Below are 16,289 nucleotides of genomic sequence, written 5' to 3' on the forward strand. Positions count from 1 at the left end.
TCTCCAAAAAAATTAAAATTAGCGGAGCATGGTGGGATGAACCTGTAGTCCCTGGTACTGGGGAAGCTGAGGTGGGAAGATTGCTATAGCCAGGGGGGTTGACACTGCAGCTAGACAGGATCCAGCAACTGCACTCCAGCCTGGGTGACAAAGCCAGACCCTGTCTCAAAAAAAATATATATAAAATATCTCACTAATATTTGTAATGTTTATTATGTTGAAAACATTTTGGATATATTGGGTTATAATGTTTTATTAAAATTAATTTCAATGGTTTCTAATTGTTTCAGATATCATTAGAAAAATGCATTCCCTCCCCTCTCCGTTATAGTTTCCCTGAAAATACATGCACTAAAGAAAAACGAAGAAAGTATGTTTTATTAAATAATATTCAAAATACAAAACAAAAAAACTTTTGAAATGTATTTAAGACAATGCTTACAAAACAATGTATATCATTAAATGCATCTGTTATTAACAAAGAAAGGTCTGTCGCAAACAGCCAGAAAATTAAAGCAAATTCCCATTAAAAAACTAAAAAAAAATTAGAGAAATTGCAGAAAATTGATTAAAAAGCATGCAAAAGATAAATCAACAAATTCAAAAGTAGGCTCCTTAAATAGATAAATTAAATTAATAAATTCCCAATGAGATTCATTTAAACAATGGAGAGGGGGAGTTCAAATCAAGAATAAACAGGCAAACTCATGGTCATCCAGATATCAATAAGCCAGCATGAATATTTTAGGAACAATTTATACCTATACATCTGACAATTTTGATGACATGAGAAAATTTCTTGAAAAACACAGCTGACTAAAACAGACGGAGGAGAACATAGAAAAATGAAAGATATGATTTGGATTCTTAAAATTCCGTGTATTATTTAAAAAACAAAACTCACAAAGAAAACTCCAGTGATCTCTTTCAGCGAAATTTTCAAAGCATTTTAGAAAGAAATAACACACTTTTAGACAAATTCTTCTAGAGAACAAAGAAAAAGCAACACTTTCTAACTTATAACTTTGTTTTTCTTTCATTTTTTTCTTTCCTTTATTTAGACAAGTTCTCCCTCTGTCACTCAGACCAAAGTGCAGTGCATGATCATAGCTCATTGCAGCCTCAAACACCTAGGCTCAAGTGATCCTCCTGCCTGGTCCTCCTGATTAGCTGGAACTACATGTGCTTGCTTCCAGGCCTGGGTAAAAACATTTATTTTTAGAGACAGGTGTCACCCTATGTTGCCTGGGGAAACCTGGAATTCCTAGAGTCAAGTGACCCTTTTGCCCAGCTGTCCAACTAGCTGGAATTACAGACAGGAGTCACTGAACTCTATTCAAAATTAGTTTTCTGTATGTACTTTGTTAAAGATAATTATACACATAATTATTGTTTAAATAATTATTTATGACATTGCATCATATTTTGATATAAATATACATGCTGTACATCTTCTACATGTCCATACATATATACTGATGTAAAGTATCTAATTTAAAATTATTCACCATGGCGTAAAATCAAAAAAACACATTTTATTTTTGCATAAATTCACCTTTGAAAATAGTCATAAAATAGGGAAGACAACAAAAAAATTAGACAAGTAAATTCACCAACTGTTGTATATAGAGTCATAGTATTTAAAATACAACTAAGTGCCTAGGTGCACTTTTTTATGAGAGCTCCATAGATGGGTTAGTTATTTCATTTAATATTTTAGAGTTGTACATATTCAGATAAATAATGACTGGAGACTTATTTAACAATGATATATTTTAAAACTAGACTGACACTTCACTGGCTTCCCATAATTTCTAGATAGCAAACTCATCTTTTCCATGTTCTGATGCCCGTACCTGCCTCTGCAGCCTCATCTCCCATCAGACCACTCTCATTCTTGTCACTCTAGCTCCAGTGGCCTGGAGCTCAACTGTACCAGGCTTCCTCCATCCAGGAAGCTTTTGCGTCTGCTGCTGTCACTGCAAAGAAAGTTTCTCTCTATCTCTCTTTGCCAAGTTAATGTATTCCTATTCCTCAAATCTCAATGCTTTCATATCTTCATAAAAGCCTGGCATAAGCTGGCATTCAGCACCTCCCTCCTACTACTGACCCTGAAAACATGTACTGCTCATTTATTGAGCTTATAGTTCTAATTGTATATTTACTTGTGTGATTCTTTAATTATGATACATCTCATTCACTAGTCTGGATGTTCTAGCAGGACTGAAATTGTCTATTATAGTTTAATATAATTTATTTCTAATACCTAGTTTATTGTCATTAGTATATGCTTGTTGAAGAATAAATAAAAAATCTTTAATGGAAATATAGATGATACATTTCAGTTTAAAATAATAAAGCAATTGTTTTTAATTGTGAGGGCATTGTTTGTGAAACAAAACATTACTTAATGAAATAATTGTTTCAGTTGTAATGTCTGTGAACAACCTATGTCAGGTTAAGATTCTTGCATCTCACTCCAAAATCCTCTACCTTCTGTTGGGCTATAATCCCCTAGGCATGATTGTCTGTACTTTATAAATCTGATCACCCCATGTTACACCCTTCCCCAATGTTACACCCTTCTGTGTAACCTAATCTTCCATTTCCACTTCTTTCTCCAGACAGTAGCCAATCCCAGGAAGTGAGAGTGTTCTTAGGTGAGTCTAATCACTTAAAAAGCAGAGTTGTCCAGGGAAGACTTCTCCAGAGAAGTCAGACTGAATTCGTGGAGGCTGGGCTTTGGTGAGCTCAGTGTTGCTGCTGACCTGGATATCCACGAATCTTCTAGACTTGAGACAATACATCGCAGATTCTGGTGTGTATGACATTTGTAGTGAAGCCCTTCATGCTTAATTTTTCTGATAAAAATACTTTAAACTCACCGGCCAGGACATTTACATCTTGTCTAAGCAAACAAGTAGCTTACCCAGTTATTTGAAGTAACATCATTATTTAAAATATCTGTAATTAGAGCATTTATAATATACTGGTTTGTGTTATATCAAGTTATTTGACTGGGTTTTTTTTTTTTTTTGTGATAGGGTCTCACTCTGTCACCTAGGCTGGACTGAAATGGCACTATCATGGCTCACTGCATCTTGGACCTCCTGGGCTCAAGCAATCCTGCCGCCACAGTCTCCTGAGTAGCTGAGACTACAAGCATGTGCCGTCACGCCAGCATTATTTTTAAAAGAATTTTTGGTAGAGATAAGATGTCAATAAGATGCGCAGGCTGGTCTAGAACTGCTGACCTGAATCCATCCTCATACCTTGGCCTCCTCAATGCCAGGATTAGAGCCTAGAGGCTAGGCTATGCCTAGCCCCCATTTTGTATTATATTACCTTATGCATTATTTGGCATGTTATGTCTTAGCAGCTATATTTCCACCTTATTTGTGTAATTATGGAATCCAAAAAGAGCTTACAATTTTCAATATGTTACATATACGGAATAGTCTTTTTCCACTTCAATTTTATTTTGTAAATTGGCATATGTTAATTGTCTGTTCAGATCATTTGCCCATTTTTTAATTGGGTTGTTTGGGTTTTTTTTTCTTTTTAATTTGTTATTGAGTTATTTGATTTCCTTGTATAGTCAGGGTATCAATCTCCTGTCCAGTGAATAGTTGGTAAATATTTTTTCTCATTCTGTCAGTTGTCTTTTCACTCCATTGATTGTTTCCTTTGCTGTGCAGAAGCTTTGCAGTTTAATATAATTCCAGTTGTTGATTTTTGGTTTTGTGGACTAGGCTTTTGTGATTTTATTCATACAATTTTTTCTCTGATTAATGTTCTGGAGCATTTCTCCTATGTTTTCTTCCAGTAGATTTGTTCTTTCAGGTTTTACATTAAAGTTTTCAATCTATTTTGAGTTGATTTTGGCATAGGATGAGAGGTGAGGGTATAATTTTATTCCCTGCATGTAAATATCCCGTTTTGCCAGCAGTGTTGATTGAAAAGACTGTCCTTTCCCCGGTAAATACTGTTGCTACCTTTGTCAAAATTCAGTTGGCTGTAGAGAGGTGTAACAGTTTCTGGGTTCTCTGATCTGTTCCGCTGGTTTACTTGTCTATTTTGACACCAGTACCATGCTGCTTTGCTTACTGTAGCTTTGTAGTATACTACATGTCATCAGTGTAAGTGTTAAATGTGTAGGATTAATTGGAAAACCCTTGTTGTAAAGGTCATGTTTGTAGTCCTTTTCAAATCTTCAATGAGCAGACTGGATTTGAAAAGTGTTCAAATAGATCCCATCAACTGGTAAAGACTCCCAGGAAGTAGGGACTTTGATCACTGTGGAGAAACACAGGGAATAAAGATAAATTGGTGGTCATGCTTCCATTAACTACATCTCTGGATTCTTTAAAGAAAAAATTCGAGTGTTTACTTTCTTTTTTGGTTTAAGTAAAAATTGATTAATTGTTGCTGAGTACTTTCATAGCTTGCGTAGTCACCATTTCAAAATATGAAGATACTCTGATGGTCTGAACTCATTCTGAGCAAAAACATTGTCTTGAATAAGAAATAACAATTTTTCGTTGTATTTATGTAAAGGTTGAATTTTGGGATTAAAATTAGAAGCATAAGTTCAGCTGTTTATAGTTACAGGAGTTGAGTGTTGAAGCCCACAATGATTAAACTAAAGACACTTAGATTAAACTTAACCAAATTTTAATTGTCTTTAGAAAAGTACATCTGCTACTTGGGTGCCAGAGAGTGAGACTAAGTATCCCTGTATAAGTTCCACTCAAGGGGTCATGGAGGAAAAGAAAGAGAGAGAGAGAGAGATGGGTTTATATGGGTTTCTGGAACAATCAGCTAATAGAAGTAACTGTGAAGTTATCCTAATTGTTCCCCTCTACCCCAATATTAAGCTTGCCCAAATAACTTATAATTGAGAACATTGTTTGTTTTAAACTAAAATGATGCTTGTCTCATTTTTCCACTTGTGTTATAGTATAAACCTAGCTTGCCTGTATTTACCACATCTAGGTCTGTACTGGGCTTAAGTTAACGGGTAGATTGAACAGAGCTGAAGCAGACAAGAAGAACTAGCTACAGGCCCTTCCCCCTCCATGTGGTCAAAAAATAATTTTCTCACTTAAATTTTTCTGTTTTAAATTTCCAGAAACATGGATTCAGACACACTGCAAACCTTCCAGAGGGAGCTCTGTTGCTTTATCTGCAGGAACTACTTAACGGACACAGTCACCATTGACTGTGGGCATAGCTTTTGCAGGCCCTGCCTTTGTCTGCGCTGGGAGGAAGGCCAAGCTCCAAAGGGCTGTCCTGTGTGTGGGAAAATCCCCCAGAAGACTGACTTCAACACCAATATTGTTCTCAAGAAGTTGGCTTCTCTTGCAAGGCAGCGCAGACCTCACAACATCAACAGCTCAGAGAAGCAGATCTGTGTGCTACATGAAGAGGAAAAGGGGCTCTTCTGTGAGGCAGAGGAGAGACTCCTCTGTGGGCCCTGCTCTGAGTCACAAGAGCATGAGGCTTATGGCCACAGCCCAATAGGATGGGCTGCTGAGGAGTGCAGGGTAAGTGACACCTCCAATGCAACCGGGAATCCACATGATCCTAAATGAGAGAGAAAATGAGAGCTTATGATAATAAAGGTGGAGAGAATGGAGATGGTGAGGTTCTGAATTTTCAATATAAATCTCTAGATATAAATGTGTCCTAGGAACACGGTTTGTTTTTGCTGCAAGCTTGACTTCCCCAGAGCCAGGATATATGAAATCCAATTTCTTAAAAAATTGATTAGCTGTTGGGTCTCCTCAAACTCTCTATTATATGTTTCTGTTACCTCTTATATTCCAAATATTAAAATCAAATTAGGTTAACTTGTAAAAACTCTGACCACTTCAGGGGGACTCAAATTTACCATTCTCTCAACAACAGGCTTTTCTCATAAAAAGGGAATAACATATCCAGTAACGTCGTATCTGCTACTAAAGGTCATGTCTATTTTGCAGGAGAAACTTCTGAAGAAAATGGATCATTTATGGAGGAGCACTCAAGAAATGCAAAACAATCTAAATCAGGAAATTAGCAAAATCCATTCATTAACGGTAGGGATAAAAAGGTTTTATATTTTTAATGTAGATTGGCACAATGCTAACTTAGACTTCTTAGCTGAATTCTGCTTACCAGTTAAAAAATAGTAGTGTCCTCTTCCCAGAAAAAAACAAAACAGTGGTTTCAAATGATATATCAGCAATTATCATTATACAGGCCAACAGGAGCTGGTGCAAAAAATACTAGTATGTACATGTATATGAAATAAACAGGGCATGATAGTTATTCCTGATGTAACCTTGAGGGTTTAGATAAAACTTCCAAGGCACTGAGAATGGGATAGCATTGAACTGTTTAAAGCGTTGTATTCACATCAAGTAGTTTAAAGTTTTGCTGTGAAGGTGAGGAGAGAAATAGAGAAATTAGTGGGGAAAACAAAACCTGAAGTAATTTCTTTAAAAACTCAGTGGTAGAGCGTATACTGAAATATTTAAAAATGTTTAGAAGAATCAGGCAAAGGAACAAGAGAAAATTAAGAAGAACCAGGTAAAAAAGACAATAATTAATGAAGTAAGAATCCTGTAGAAGCATCACAGGCAGGGATCTTGAGTCCTTTTGAGGTACTGATTTATACAGGAAGGGAGACTAGGAGGAACATGAAGAAAGGATGGGTAGAGGAGACTAGCAAATCTTCAAGAACCTTTTCAAGTATGAGACACAGAGCTTAGGAGTTTACTGCTTGCATATCCTAGGAGAATAACAGTTGAAGTGTTAAGTGTTTTGTTGAGAGTGAGGAGATGCAATTCTTTTAACTGAGTATCTCTGCAGGACTATGTGGCCCCCAGGAAAGGGATGATCAGATAACAATATCAGAAGTTGCGCCAATTTCTCCTGGAGGAGGAGCAACGCCATCTGGAGACAATGGACAGAGAAGCAGAAGAGATTGTTCGACAACTCCAAGACGGTGAAGTAAGAATAACCCAACATATAAAAAAGACGAAAGGCATGTACAGAGAGCTGTGGGAGATGCGCCACATGCCGGATGTGAAGCTGCTCCAGATGAGGAGGGAGGGTCCATCATCCAGAGTCAGGAAGACTTTGTTGGGCAATGCTGCCAGGACATTCATATGCTACCTGCAAATGTAACTACTCTTAGAAAGTGACACATGCTCCTTGACTCTGTCATTACGTTTGTCCAGTGACTTATTTTTGCATATTCTGGTAATCTTTGGGAGATTTTTGCCATTTTGGTAGATCACATAGGACAAAATCCTCTTCAGTATAATCAGAAGTACTAGCCACAAAGAAATGTTATCCAAAATCAACCAAATGCTAGGCCAGGAGAATATTAGCTTTGTTAATAAAACTCAATTTAAGTTCCCTAGTACGTCCTCACTTCTTGGGATTAAGCCTGGGAGATGAGTGACACTGAGAACTAGATAGCTGTGTACATCACTCCACAGTCTTATTCTCAGCTCCTTCATTCCTAATGCCCACTGAGGAAGACCACCATGGTTCAGCTGAGGTTCTGTTATTAACACAGCCTTGGATGGTGCCTTAGAGATGTATCAATAAACCTACCTTGTTAACCCAGAAAAACAACAAAGAATACTAGGGAAAGTAGGACAGAATTCTCATGATTAAGTACTTGTGTTTTTCTTTGCAGGACTTGGAAAACATACTGGAATGGTGAGTTACACTAATGGACTTTGATTGCTGAGAAAGTCATTCCCTTATTGATAAAGTCAATGTACCCTTGAAAGTCAATGTACCATTGAAAAAGGTGGGGATTAGGTTCACTAACCACCTTCATGCAATTCCACATAGTTGAAAACCCAAGTATAACTTCTGACTTTTCCAAAACCAAACTACGAATGACCTCTTATTGACTGGAAGCCTGTTGATACCATAAACAGTCAATTAACATATATTGTATGTTATACGTATTATATGCTGTATCCTAACAATAAAGTAAGCTGGAGAAAAAATATAATTGAGAAAATTGTAAGGAAGAGAAAATAAATTTATTACTCATTAAGAAGTTGATCACCATAAGGGTCTTCATCTTCATTGTCTTCACATTGAGTAGGCTGAAGAGGAGGAGGAAGAGAAGACAGTGTCTCAGCAGTGGCAGAGGCAGAAATAAAAGAAATGGAGTGGGAGGCAGGAGAGGCAGGCAAGCTAGGTGAAACTTTCATTGAAAAAAATCCACTTATAAGTGGACCCCCAAATTTCAAACCCTTGTCGCTTAAGGGTCAACTACATGTTTTGAGGTATTTAGCATTAATCTGTGGCTATGTTCCATTTTGGTTTCAAAGGAGAACCTGAGAACTTAAGCTTCTTTGTCTCAGAAGTTTCCTTCTTATCTGGCTGAATGAATATGTATCGAAAAACAGTGTGCCATTCTGGATTTTCTTCTACCCACCCACCCCATCTTCTCCAGCCCTGCCCCAGCAAATCTTTTTTTTTTTTTTCTATTTTTTTTTATTATACTTTAAGTTTTAGGGCACATGTGCACATTGTGCAGGTTAGTTACATATGTATACATGTGCCATGCTGGTGCACTGCACCCACTAACTCGTCATCTAGCATTAGGTATATCTCCCAATGCTATCCCTCCCCCCTCCCCCCACCCCACCACAGTCCCCAGAGTGTGATATTCCCCTTCCTGTGTCCATGTGATCTCATTGTTCAATTCCCACCTATGAGTGAGAATATGCGGTGTTTGGTTTTTGGAGGCATCACACTACCTGACTTCAAACTATACTACAAGGCTACAGTAACCAAAGCAGCATGGTACTGGTACCAAAACAGAGATATAGATCAATGGAACAGAACAGAGCCCTCAGAAATATCGCCGCATGTCTACAACTATCTGATCTTTGACAAACCTGAGAAAAACAAGCAATGGGGAAAGGATTCCCTGTTTAATAAATGGTGCTGGGAAAACTGGCTAGCCATATGTAGAAAGCTGAAACTGGATCCCTTCCTTACATCTTATACAAAAATCAATTCAAGATGGACTAAAGACTTAAACGTTAGACCTAAAACCATAAAAACCCTAGAAGAAAACCTAGGCATTACCATTCAGGACATAGGCATGGGCAAGGACTTCATGTCTAAACCACCAAAAGCAATGGCAACAAAAGCCAAAATTGACAAATGGGATCTAATTAAACTAAAGAGCTTCTGCACAGCAAAAGAAACTACCATCAGAGTGAACAGGCAACCTACAAAATGGGAGAAAATTTTTGCAACCTACTCATCTGACAAAGGGCTAATATCCAGAATCTACAATGAACTCAAACAAATTTACAAGAAAAAAACAAACAACCCCATCAAAAAGTGGGCAAAGGACATGAACAGACACTTCTCAAAAGAAGACATTTATGCAGCCAAAAAACACATGAAAAAATGCTCATCATCACTGGCCATCAGAGAAATGCAAATCAAAACCACAATGAGATACCATCTCACACCAGTTGGAATGGCAATCATTAAAAAGTCAGGAAACAACAGGTGCTGGAGAGGATGTGGAGAAACAGGAACACTTTTACACTGTTGGTAGGACTGTAAACTAGTTCAACCCAGCAAATCTTAAGAAGATTACTCTGAGTTATCACAAAGGAGTCTCCTATTCTGGAGAGGCAGAGGCGAGAGGTGAAAAAGAGAGGGAAATGCCCTAAGGACAGGAAAGGGAGGGAGGATTTGTTCCCAGGGATATCAATAGCCAGGCCCTGCTCCATCTCTGCACTGCCCTGTTGTAGGTAGAATCTAAGAGGGGAATGGCTGCCTCAGGATCCTCAGCGCCAGAGCTGACAGGCTGAAAATAGACTCCTTTGGTTTGAACAAAAGTTCAAAACCTTTAGTGTCAGTGGGCATTCCCTGTAAGACCCTGACTGCATCACTGGTGACAACTACCGACTGAGGTCCCAAAGGCTTTGGCTGAGTTTTCTTCTCTCAGCAAGAATCCCAGGATATCTGTATACTTTGAAGAGGCCGGAGGGGGAGAGGGAGGAAATGACACTCAGTAATTTTAAATTAGGATCATGTATGAGAGAATAGAGAAATTGGACTTTAACATGTTAAATTTAGATAAAAGTAACATTGCTATATCCTCAATACAGTTGAATAAAATGTATACTGAATTTAACAAAAAAGGGAGATTTCTCCAGAAATATCTTGGATGAAAATCTGAAACATTTGTATGACTGTGTGATTATCCCTGGGCCTAAAAGTGTAACTGAGGTTGTTCTTTGCAGGACAGATTTGGTGCAAATGGAAAAGCCCCAGCCAGTGAACCCAGAACTCACTTCCTGGCACATCACCGGAGTGCTAGATATGCTCAACAAATTCAGAGGTAAGAGCCAGCTGCTTGGCAGTACAGCCTCAACTTCTGTTTAGTGGATTCCTTGGTTGAGCCGTTTCCCATTTTAGTTTTAATTTCTGTGAATTTATCATATATTGTAGAAATAATATTTATCATAAAAATTAGAAAGCGTTGACCAACCAAATAACTAAAACTTCCATAAACAGAACAACTTTACTGCTGTAAGATACATTTCACAACAACTGGAAGCTGAGGGTTCTGTGAAAATGGCCCAAACATGTAAGGCAGCCATTAGACAACAGAGGGCTAAAACCGGGATTAGACTGAATGAAGCAGTGGCTGACCAGGTCACGTAAAAGCAGAACATGATCATTATTTTCAGAAACTTCTAAACTGCACATGTATGGAAGTCCATCAAATTCTGATGTTTAAACATGGAGGAGGTGAGGCCGGGCACAGTGGCTCATGCCTGTAATCCTCCAAGGCTGAGGCGGGCATATCACCTGAGGTCAACGGCTGGAAACCAGCCTGGCCAACATGGCAAAACCCCATCTATACTAAAAATACAAAAATGATCTGGGCATGGTGGCACATGCCTGTAATCCCAGCTACTCGGGAGGCTGAGGAAGCAGAATCGCTTGAACCCAGGAGGCTGCAGTGAGCCGAGATCGCACCACTGCACTCCAGCCTGGGCAGCAGAGTGAGACTCTGTCTCAAAACAAAACAAAACAAAAGTAACAGGCACATTTTATATCCCACTAGACAAGAGCATCATAGCAGAGTGAAGTCTATTTGTTAATTATATTGAATACAAACAATGCAAGTGGCATTTTCTACTAAATAAATAAAGAATGTTACATATCTCTTGAAACGAATCGTGCAAAGCCAGACATTAAATCATTGATTCACACAATTAATGATATGTTTGTTTATTTGTTTTTCTGTGTGATTTTAAGGATTCTCCTGTGCTGTAGAAGTCATAATAACCCTTGATCTTCGTAGATGACAGTCTCCAAAGTCTTTTTGCTCCATGTATTCTGTCTGTCACTTACAGGAGGTACAAATAAAGCCAGTACCTGGGCAGATAACATCTGACCCCCACGTAACTCCTTGATCTGATTTTTGTTCTTCTTGCAGTGGATGATCCTCTGAGTAAGGAAAAGACGAGTCACTATATGAGCCTTTCTGAGGATGTGAGAAATGTGGTATTTGGAGATGACCATGATGGTGCACCCGGGGAGTCCCAGAGAGCAGAGAACTTTGCAGCATGGGGAGCTCAGGCCTTCTCCTCTGGCAGGCATTACTGGGAAGTGGATGTAACCCAGTCCTCCAGCTGGATTCTAGGAGTCTGTAAAGATTCCAGGACAGCAAACACAAATCATGTTCCTGCTTTTGAGGAAGCATTTTTTCAATTTTCTTCAAAGAGAAACAGCCTTTATAGCCTCTCCAACATCTTTCTTCCCTTAACTCACTATGTGCAAAGACCTTTGGGTCGGGTTGGGATGTTTCTGGATTATGACAACACAGTTGTGAGCTTTTATGATGTTTCAAAAGGTTCCCTCATATACAGCTTTTTCCCTTCCTCTTTGTCTTCCCTTTTGACACCTTTCTTTTGTTTTGGTTCCCCATGAAAGTCAGGTTTCATTATGATTTCCTAGTGAGCTCTCTTGCCTGAAAAATCTTCTAATCTCGAGACCTTCTCATGTGAGACAATAGGACAATGTGTGAGCATCTTTGAGCTCACTGTAACTTGAGGAAACAAAATTATTATCTGGGTATGAAATGGGATAACCACATTGACATTATACATCTGTTTCCTAAATTTTACTTTAATAAAGAGTTGTGAAAAACCATAACTGTCTGATTCCTGGACATTTTATATACCCCAAAATGAAACCCAAAACTCTTTATCATTACTCTCTATTCATTGCGCCTTCCCCACCCACTCGACTCACAATCCCTTTTGTACTTTAGATCTTTGTGGATTTGTGTATTGTAGACACTTTATGCAAAGCAAATAATACAAAATATGGTCTGGATCATCAGTTACTAAAAATTGCAGATTTTTGTAAATGTGCAAAATATATTAGTTATAAGAGTAAACTGTACTGTCTTACTGACATATATGCTTAATTATAGTTCTTCGTTTCAATGGCCCTTGCATGCTTTCCAAAGTAGCATCATAAAATGTAAACTTAGACTGGAAAAGCTTTGAAGAAGTTTGTTTTGATGCAAATAATTTTTAGCTGAACAAATTCTTCTTCTTTTTTTTTTTTTGCTTCTAGCATAGATTATTTATTTATTTATTTTATTTTATTTTTTTGAGACGGTGACTCCCTCTATCCCCCAGGCTGGAAATACAGATGCCTGACATGGGCTCACTGCAACCTCCGCCTCCCGGGTTCAAGCGATTCTCAGCCTCCTGAGTTGCTGGGATTACAGCAACCCCTGGCTAATTTTTGTATTTTTAATCGAGACCACAGGATTTCACCATGTTGGCCAGGCTGGTCCCAAACTCCTGATCTCAAGTGATATGCCCGCCTCGGCCTCCCAAAGTGCTGGCATGACAAATGTGAGCCACCAAACGCGGCTGATTCTTATCTTCAATATTCTCATAAATGCTGGATTCAGAAAAACCACTGGTTTATCAAAGTCATTTTATTATCATCTATGTTTTCTTCAATGTTAACTTCAAATTGGGAGTCTTGGTAATAAAAGATCAGTAATTGTGCATTGTCTTTCATGATAAATTTGGTCCATCCTGACTATGTGCCATTCTTTGCAAAGGATAAACAGCTTGTGAGTCAGATCTGGAGTTAATGAAACCTTCAGATTCCGTAAGCAAATAAGTAGAGACGCTGTGTTTAAATTGTCTGAAGCCATCCTTGCCTCTGGGATATTTCCCTCTTATTGGGAAGCTAACTCATATGGCTCTAGAAATAGTGTACTCCTAAGTGTTGTTAAGAGTCTGCAGGCAGGTAAATCTTTAATGCTTTCAACGAATTTCCCTTTTCTTAAAAAGTCTGTGAAAACCATCCTTTAAAACTTCTTGCATCAACGTAATTTTAGAAAAAAAGATGGAACCAAAGCCAGAGGTGGTGGTAAAGGCTACAGCCAAATTGAAGGGTCACAGCAGCATAGGAGACAGGAGGCTCAGAAGAAAGCCAGGCAGAAAACATAAAAACCTCTGGAGACTAGGCATGAGCCTTGTGCTTCTCTTGAAGCCCGACGCCAGCGGTGATTCCAGCACATCTGTGGTCCTTCAGTCTTGCAGTCTCCAGATCCCTCAGTCCCCTATTACAAAAGTTTCGGAATCTGTTTTCATTTGGATAGAAAAGAGGGGTCAGAAAATTAAGAACTTTACCAGGTTTGGACAGAGCAAGCTGGGATAGAGTGGTAGGTGTTGAAATTAGCTGTGGATACAGAAACTTGTACTTGGAGAATAGTGGTATTTGTTGTGAATTTCCAAAAGACAATATTGAACCAAGGTCATACATCCCAGGTTAAAAGTTTGTAAATAGACTATTTTACAGGACTCTCCCTGAAAAGTGAAACTTTGAAGAATGACCTGTTGGTGGTATTAGGAAAGAAATAGAGGCCATAGTGAGGGAAGGAAGGAGGGATGAAGGGAGCAGAGAATGTGAACTGGCATGCCAGACAGATTAAAAAATAATGAAAACAAAAGCAAAAATTACAGATTCCATACATTTCTCAAAGGAAGACATTTATGCAGCCATCAAACATATGAAAAAAAGGTCATAATCATTGATCAGTAGATGCAAATCAAAGCCACAATGAGATACCATCTCATGCCAGTTAGGATGGCAATCATGAAAAAGTCAGGAAACAATTGTGGCAATTCCTCAAGGATCTAGAACCAGAAATACCATTTGACCCAGCAATCCCACTACTGGGTATATACTCAAAGGACAATAAATCATTCTACTATAAAGACACATGCACACTTAGGTTTATTGCAGCACTGTTCACCATAGCAAAGACTTGGAACCAACCAAAATGTCCATCAATGATAGGCTGGATAAGGAAAATGTGGCACATATACACCATGGAATACTATGCAGCCATGAAAAAGGATGAGTTTGGCTGGGTGCCAGGCTCACGCCTGTAATCCCAGCACTTTGGGAGGCCGAGGCAGGTGGATCACGAGGTCAGGAAATGGAAACCATCCTGGCTAACACGGTGAAACCCTGTCTCTACTAAAAATACAAAAAAATAAAAAATTAGCTGGGCATGGTGGCTGTCACCTGTAGTCCCAGCTACTTGGGAGGCTGAGGCAGGAGAATGTCGTGAACCCGGGGGCGGGGTTTTCAGTGAGCCAAGATTGCACCACTGCACTCTAGCCTGGGCGACAGAGTCAGACTCCTTCAAAAAAAAAAAAAAAAAAAAAAGGATGAGTTCATGTCCTTTGCAGAGACATGGATGAAGCTTGAAACCATCATTCTCAGCAAACTAACACAAGAACAGGAAAACAAACATCGCATGTTCTCACTCATAAGTGGGGGTTGAACAACGAGAACACATGGTCACAGGGAGGGGAACATCACACACCAGGGCCTATCTGGGGGTTGGGGGATAGGGGAGGAATAGCGTTAGGTGAAATACCTAATGTAGATGACAGGTTGATGGGTGCAGCAAACCACCAAGGCACATGTATACCTATGCAACAAACCTGCACTTTCTGCACATGTATCCCAGAACTTAAAGTATAATTAAAAAAAAAAAAAAGTAAAACACAAGCAAAGAAGCAAACAAAAACCCTACAGATTCCAAGACAAATTGGCTTAGGTATTTGATATGTAGGGGGGAAAATGCAGGGGAAAATTATCGTAAAGCGACATTAACTTTGGAGTTTGAAGAAATTGGTGGGTCTTGCTTTCAATATGTCAAGGATGTGACTTCTGAAGGTGTGAATAACAACATCCCTCAATAAATCCGTGTGCTAATTAATAACAGACACTCCCACATTTTTATCATTAAGATCCCACCTAATCCTAATTCAGATACTCATTCTAATTAATGCAATCATCTCAGAATTTCAAAGATATTTGTTGGCCAGTTAGTGACTATTAGTTATCCTTAGAAAGAAACTATTTGAGAGGAACATTTAGAGGTACTTATCAATTTTTAAGTGTACATATATTTTAAACCTATAATATCATTAGTATGGAAATTTCCATAAAAATGCACAAGGATATATATATATTACGTATATTGTGGCAATATTTTCAATATAACAAGGGAGAGAATATAGTTCAACAAAACACTGCGTAATCTATTGTACTCTCTATAAATATGAACAACATCTGCATATACTCATAACCAGCCACTTGCTTAACTAAAAAAAAGTGATCTCATGGAATTAAAAAGTAAAACAGAGGATACTAGTGGCTAGGAACGGTAGAAGGCAGAGGGTATAGGGAGAGGTACAAAATTAAATATAATTAAATATAATGAATACTAAAAGAGAAAATAAATACAATTTAAAAATACAAAATTATAGGTAGATGGGAGGTATAAGTTGTAACGGTCTATAGCATTGCAAGATGATTATAATTAACAGTAATATATACTTTCAAATAGCTAGAATGAGGATATTGCAGGTTCCCTAAAAAAAAAGAAATGGTAAATGTTTGAGACAATGTGCTAAATACTCTGATCTGATTACTATGCATCATATGTATCAAAACATCACTATCTACCCTACAAATATGTAAAATTATGTGTCTATTAAAAATAAAATTTTAAGTACTGATTCCTTGATATCCTCTGTACAGTGATAGCTTATTTTTCTAATATTCTTTTAATGGGTAATCAAACACAAAAAATGGTTTGACCTGCAAGATAACATAAGAATAAATGTAAAAATATATGAGTCAGGTTCAGAGTTGGAAATTTGTGTCCACAATGTCAT

At 38.1% G+C, this 16,289-nt stretch overlaps 1 pseudogene across 1 annotated transcript; it reads left to right on the forward strand.

Annotated features, from left to right (window-relative positions):
• The first annotated feature begins 5,378 nt into the window (after positions 1 to 5,378).
• Positions 5,379 to 11,553, forward strand: TRIM64GP (tripartite motif containing 64G, pseudogene; annotated as a pseudogene). Its single transcript, NR_169306.1, has 6 exons — positions 5,379 to 5,546; positions 5,985 to 6,080; positions 6,856 to 6,996; positions 7,694 to 7,716; positions 10,290 to 10,387; positions 11,495 to 11,553. The product of NR_169306.1 is annotated as a tripartite motif containing 64G, pseudogene (transcript).
• Positions 11,554 to 16,289: the final 4,736 nt, after the last annotated feature.

The sequence above is a fragment of the Homo sapiens genome, chromosome 11 (genome assembly GCF_000001405.40).
Source record: "Homo sapiens chromosome 11, GRCh38.p14 Primary Assembly".
Classification (NCBI taxonomy): Eukaryota; Metazoa; Chordata; class Mammalia; order Primates; family Hominidae; genus Homo; species Homo sapiens.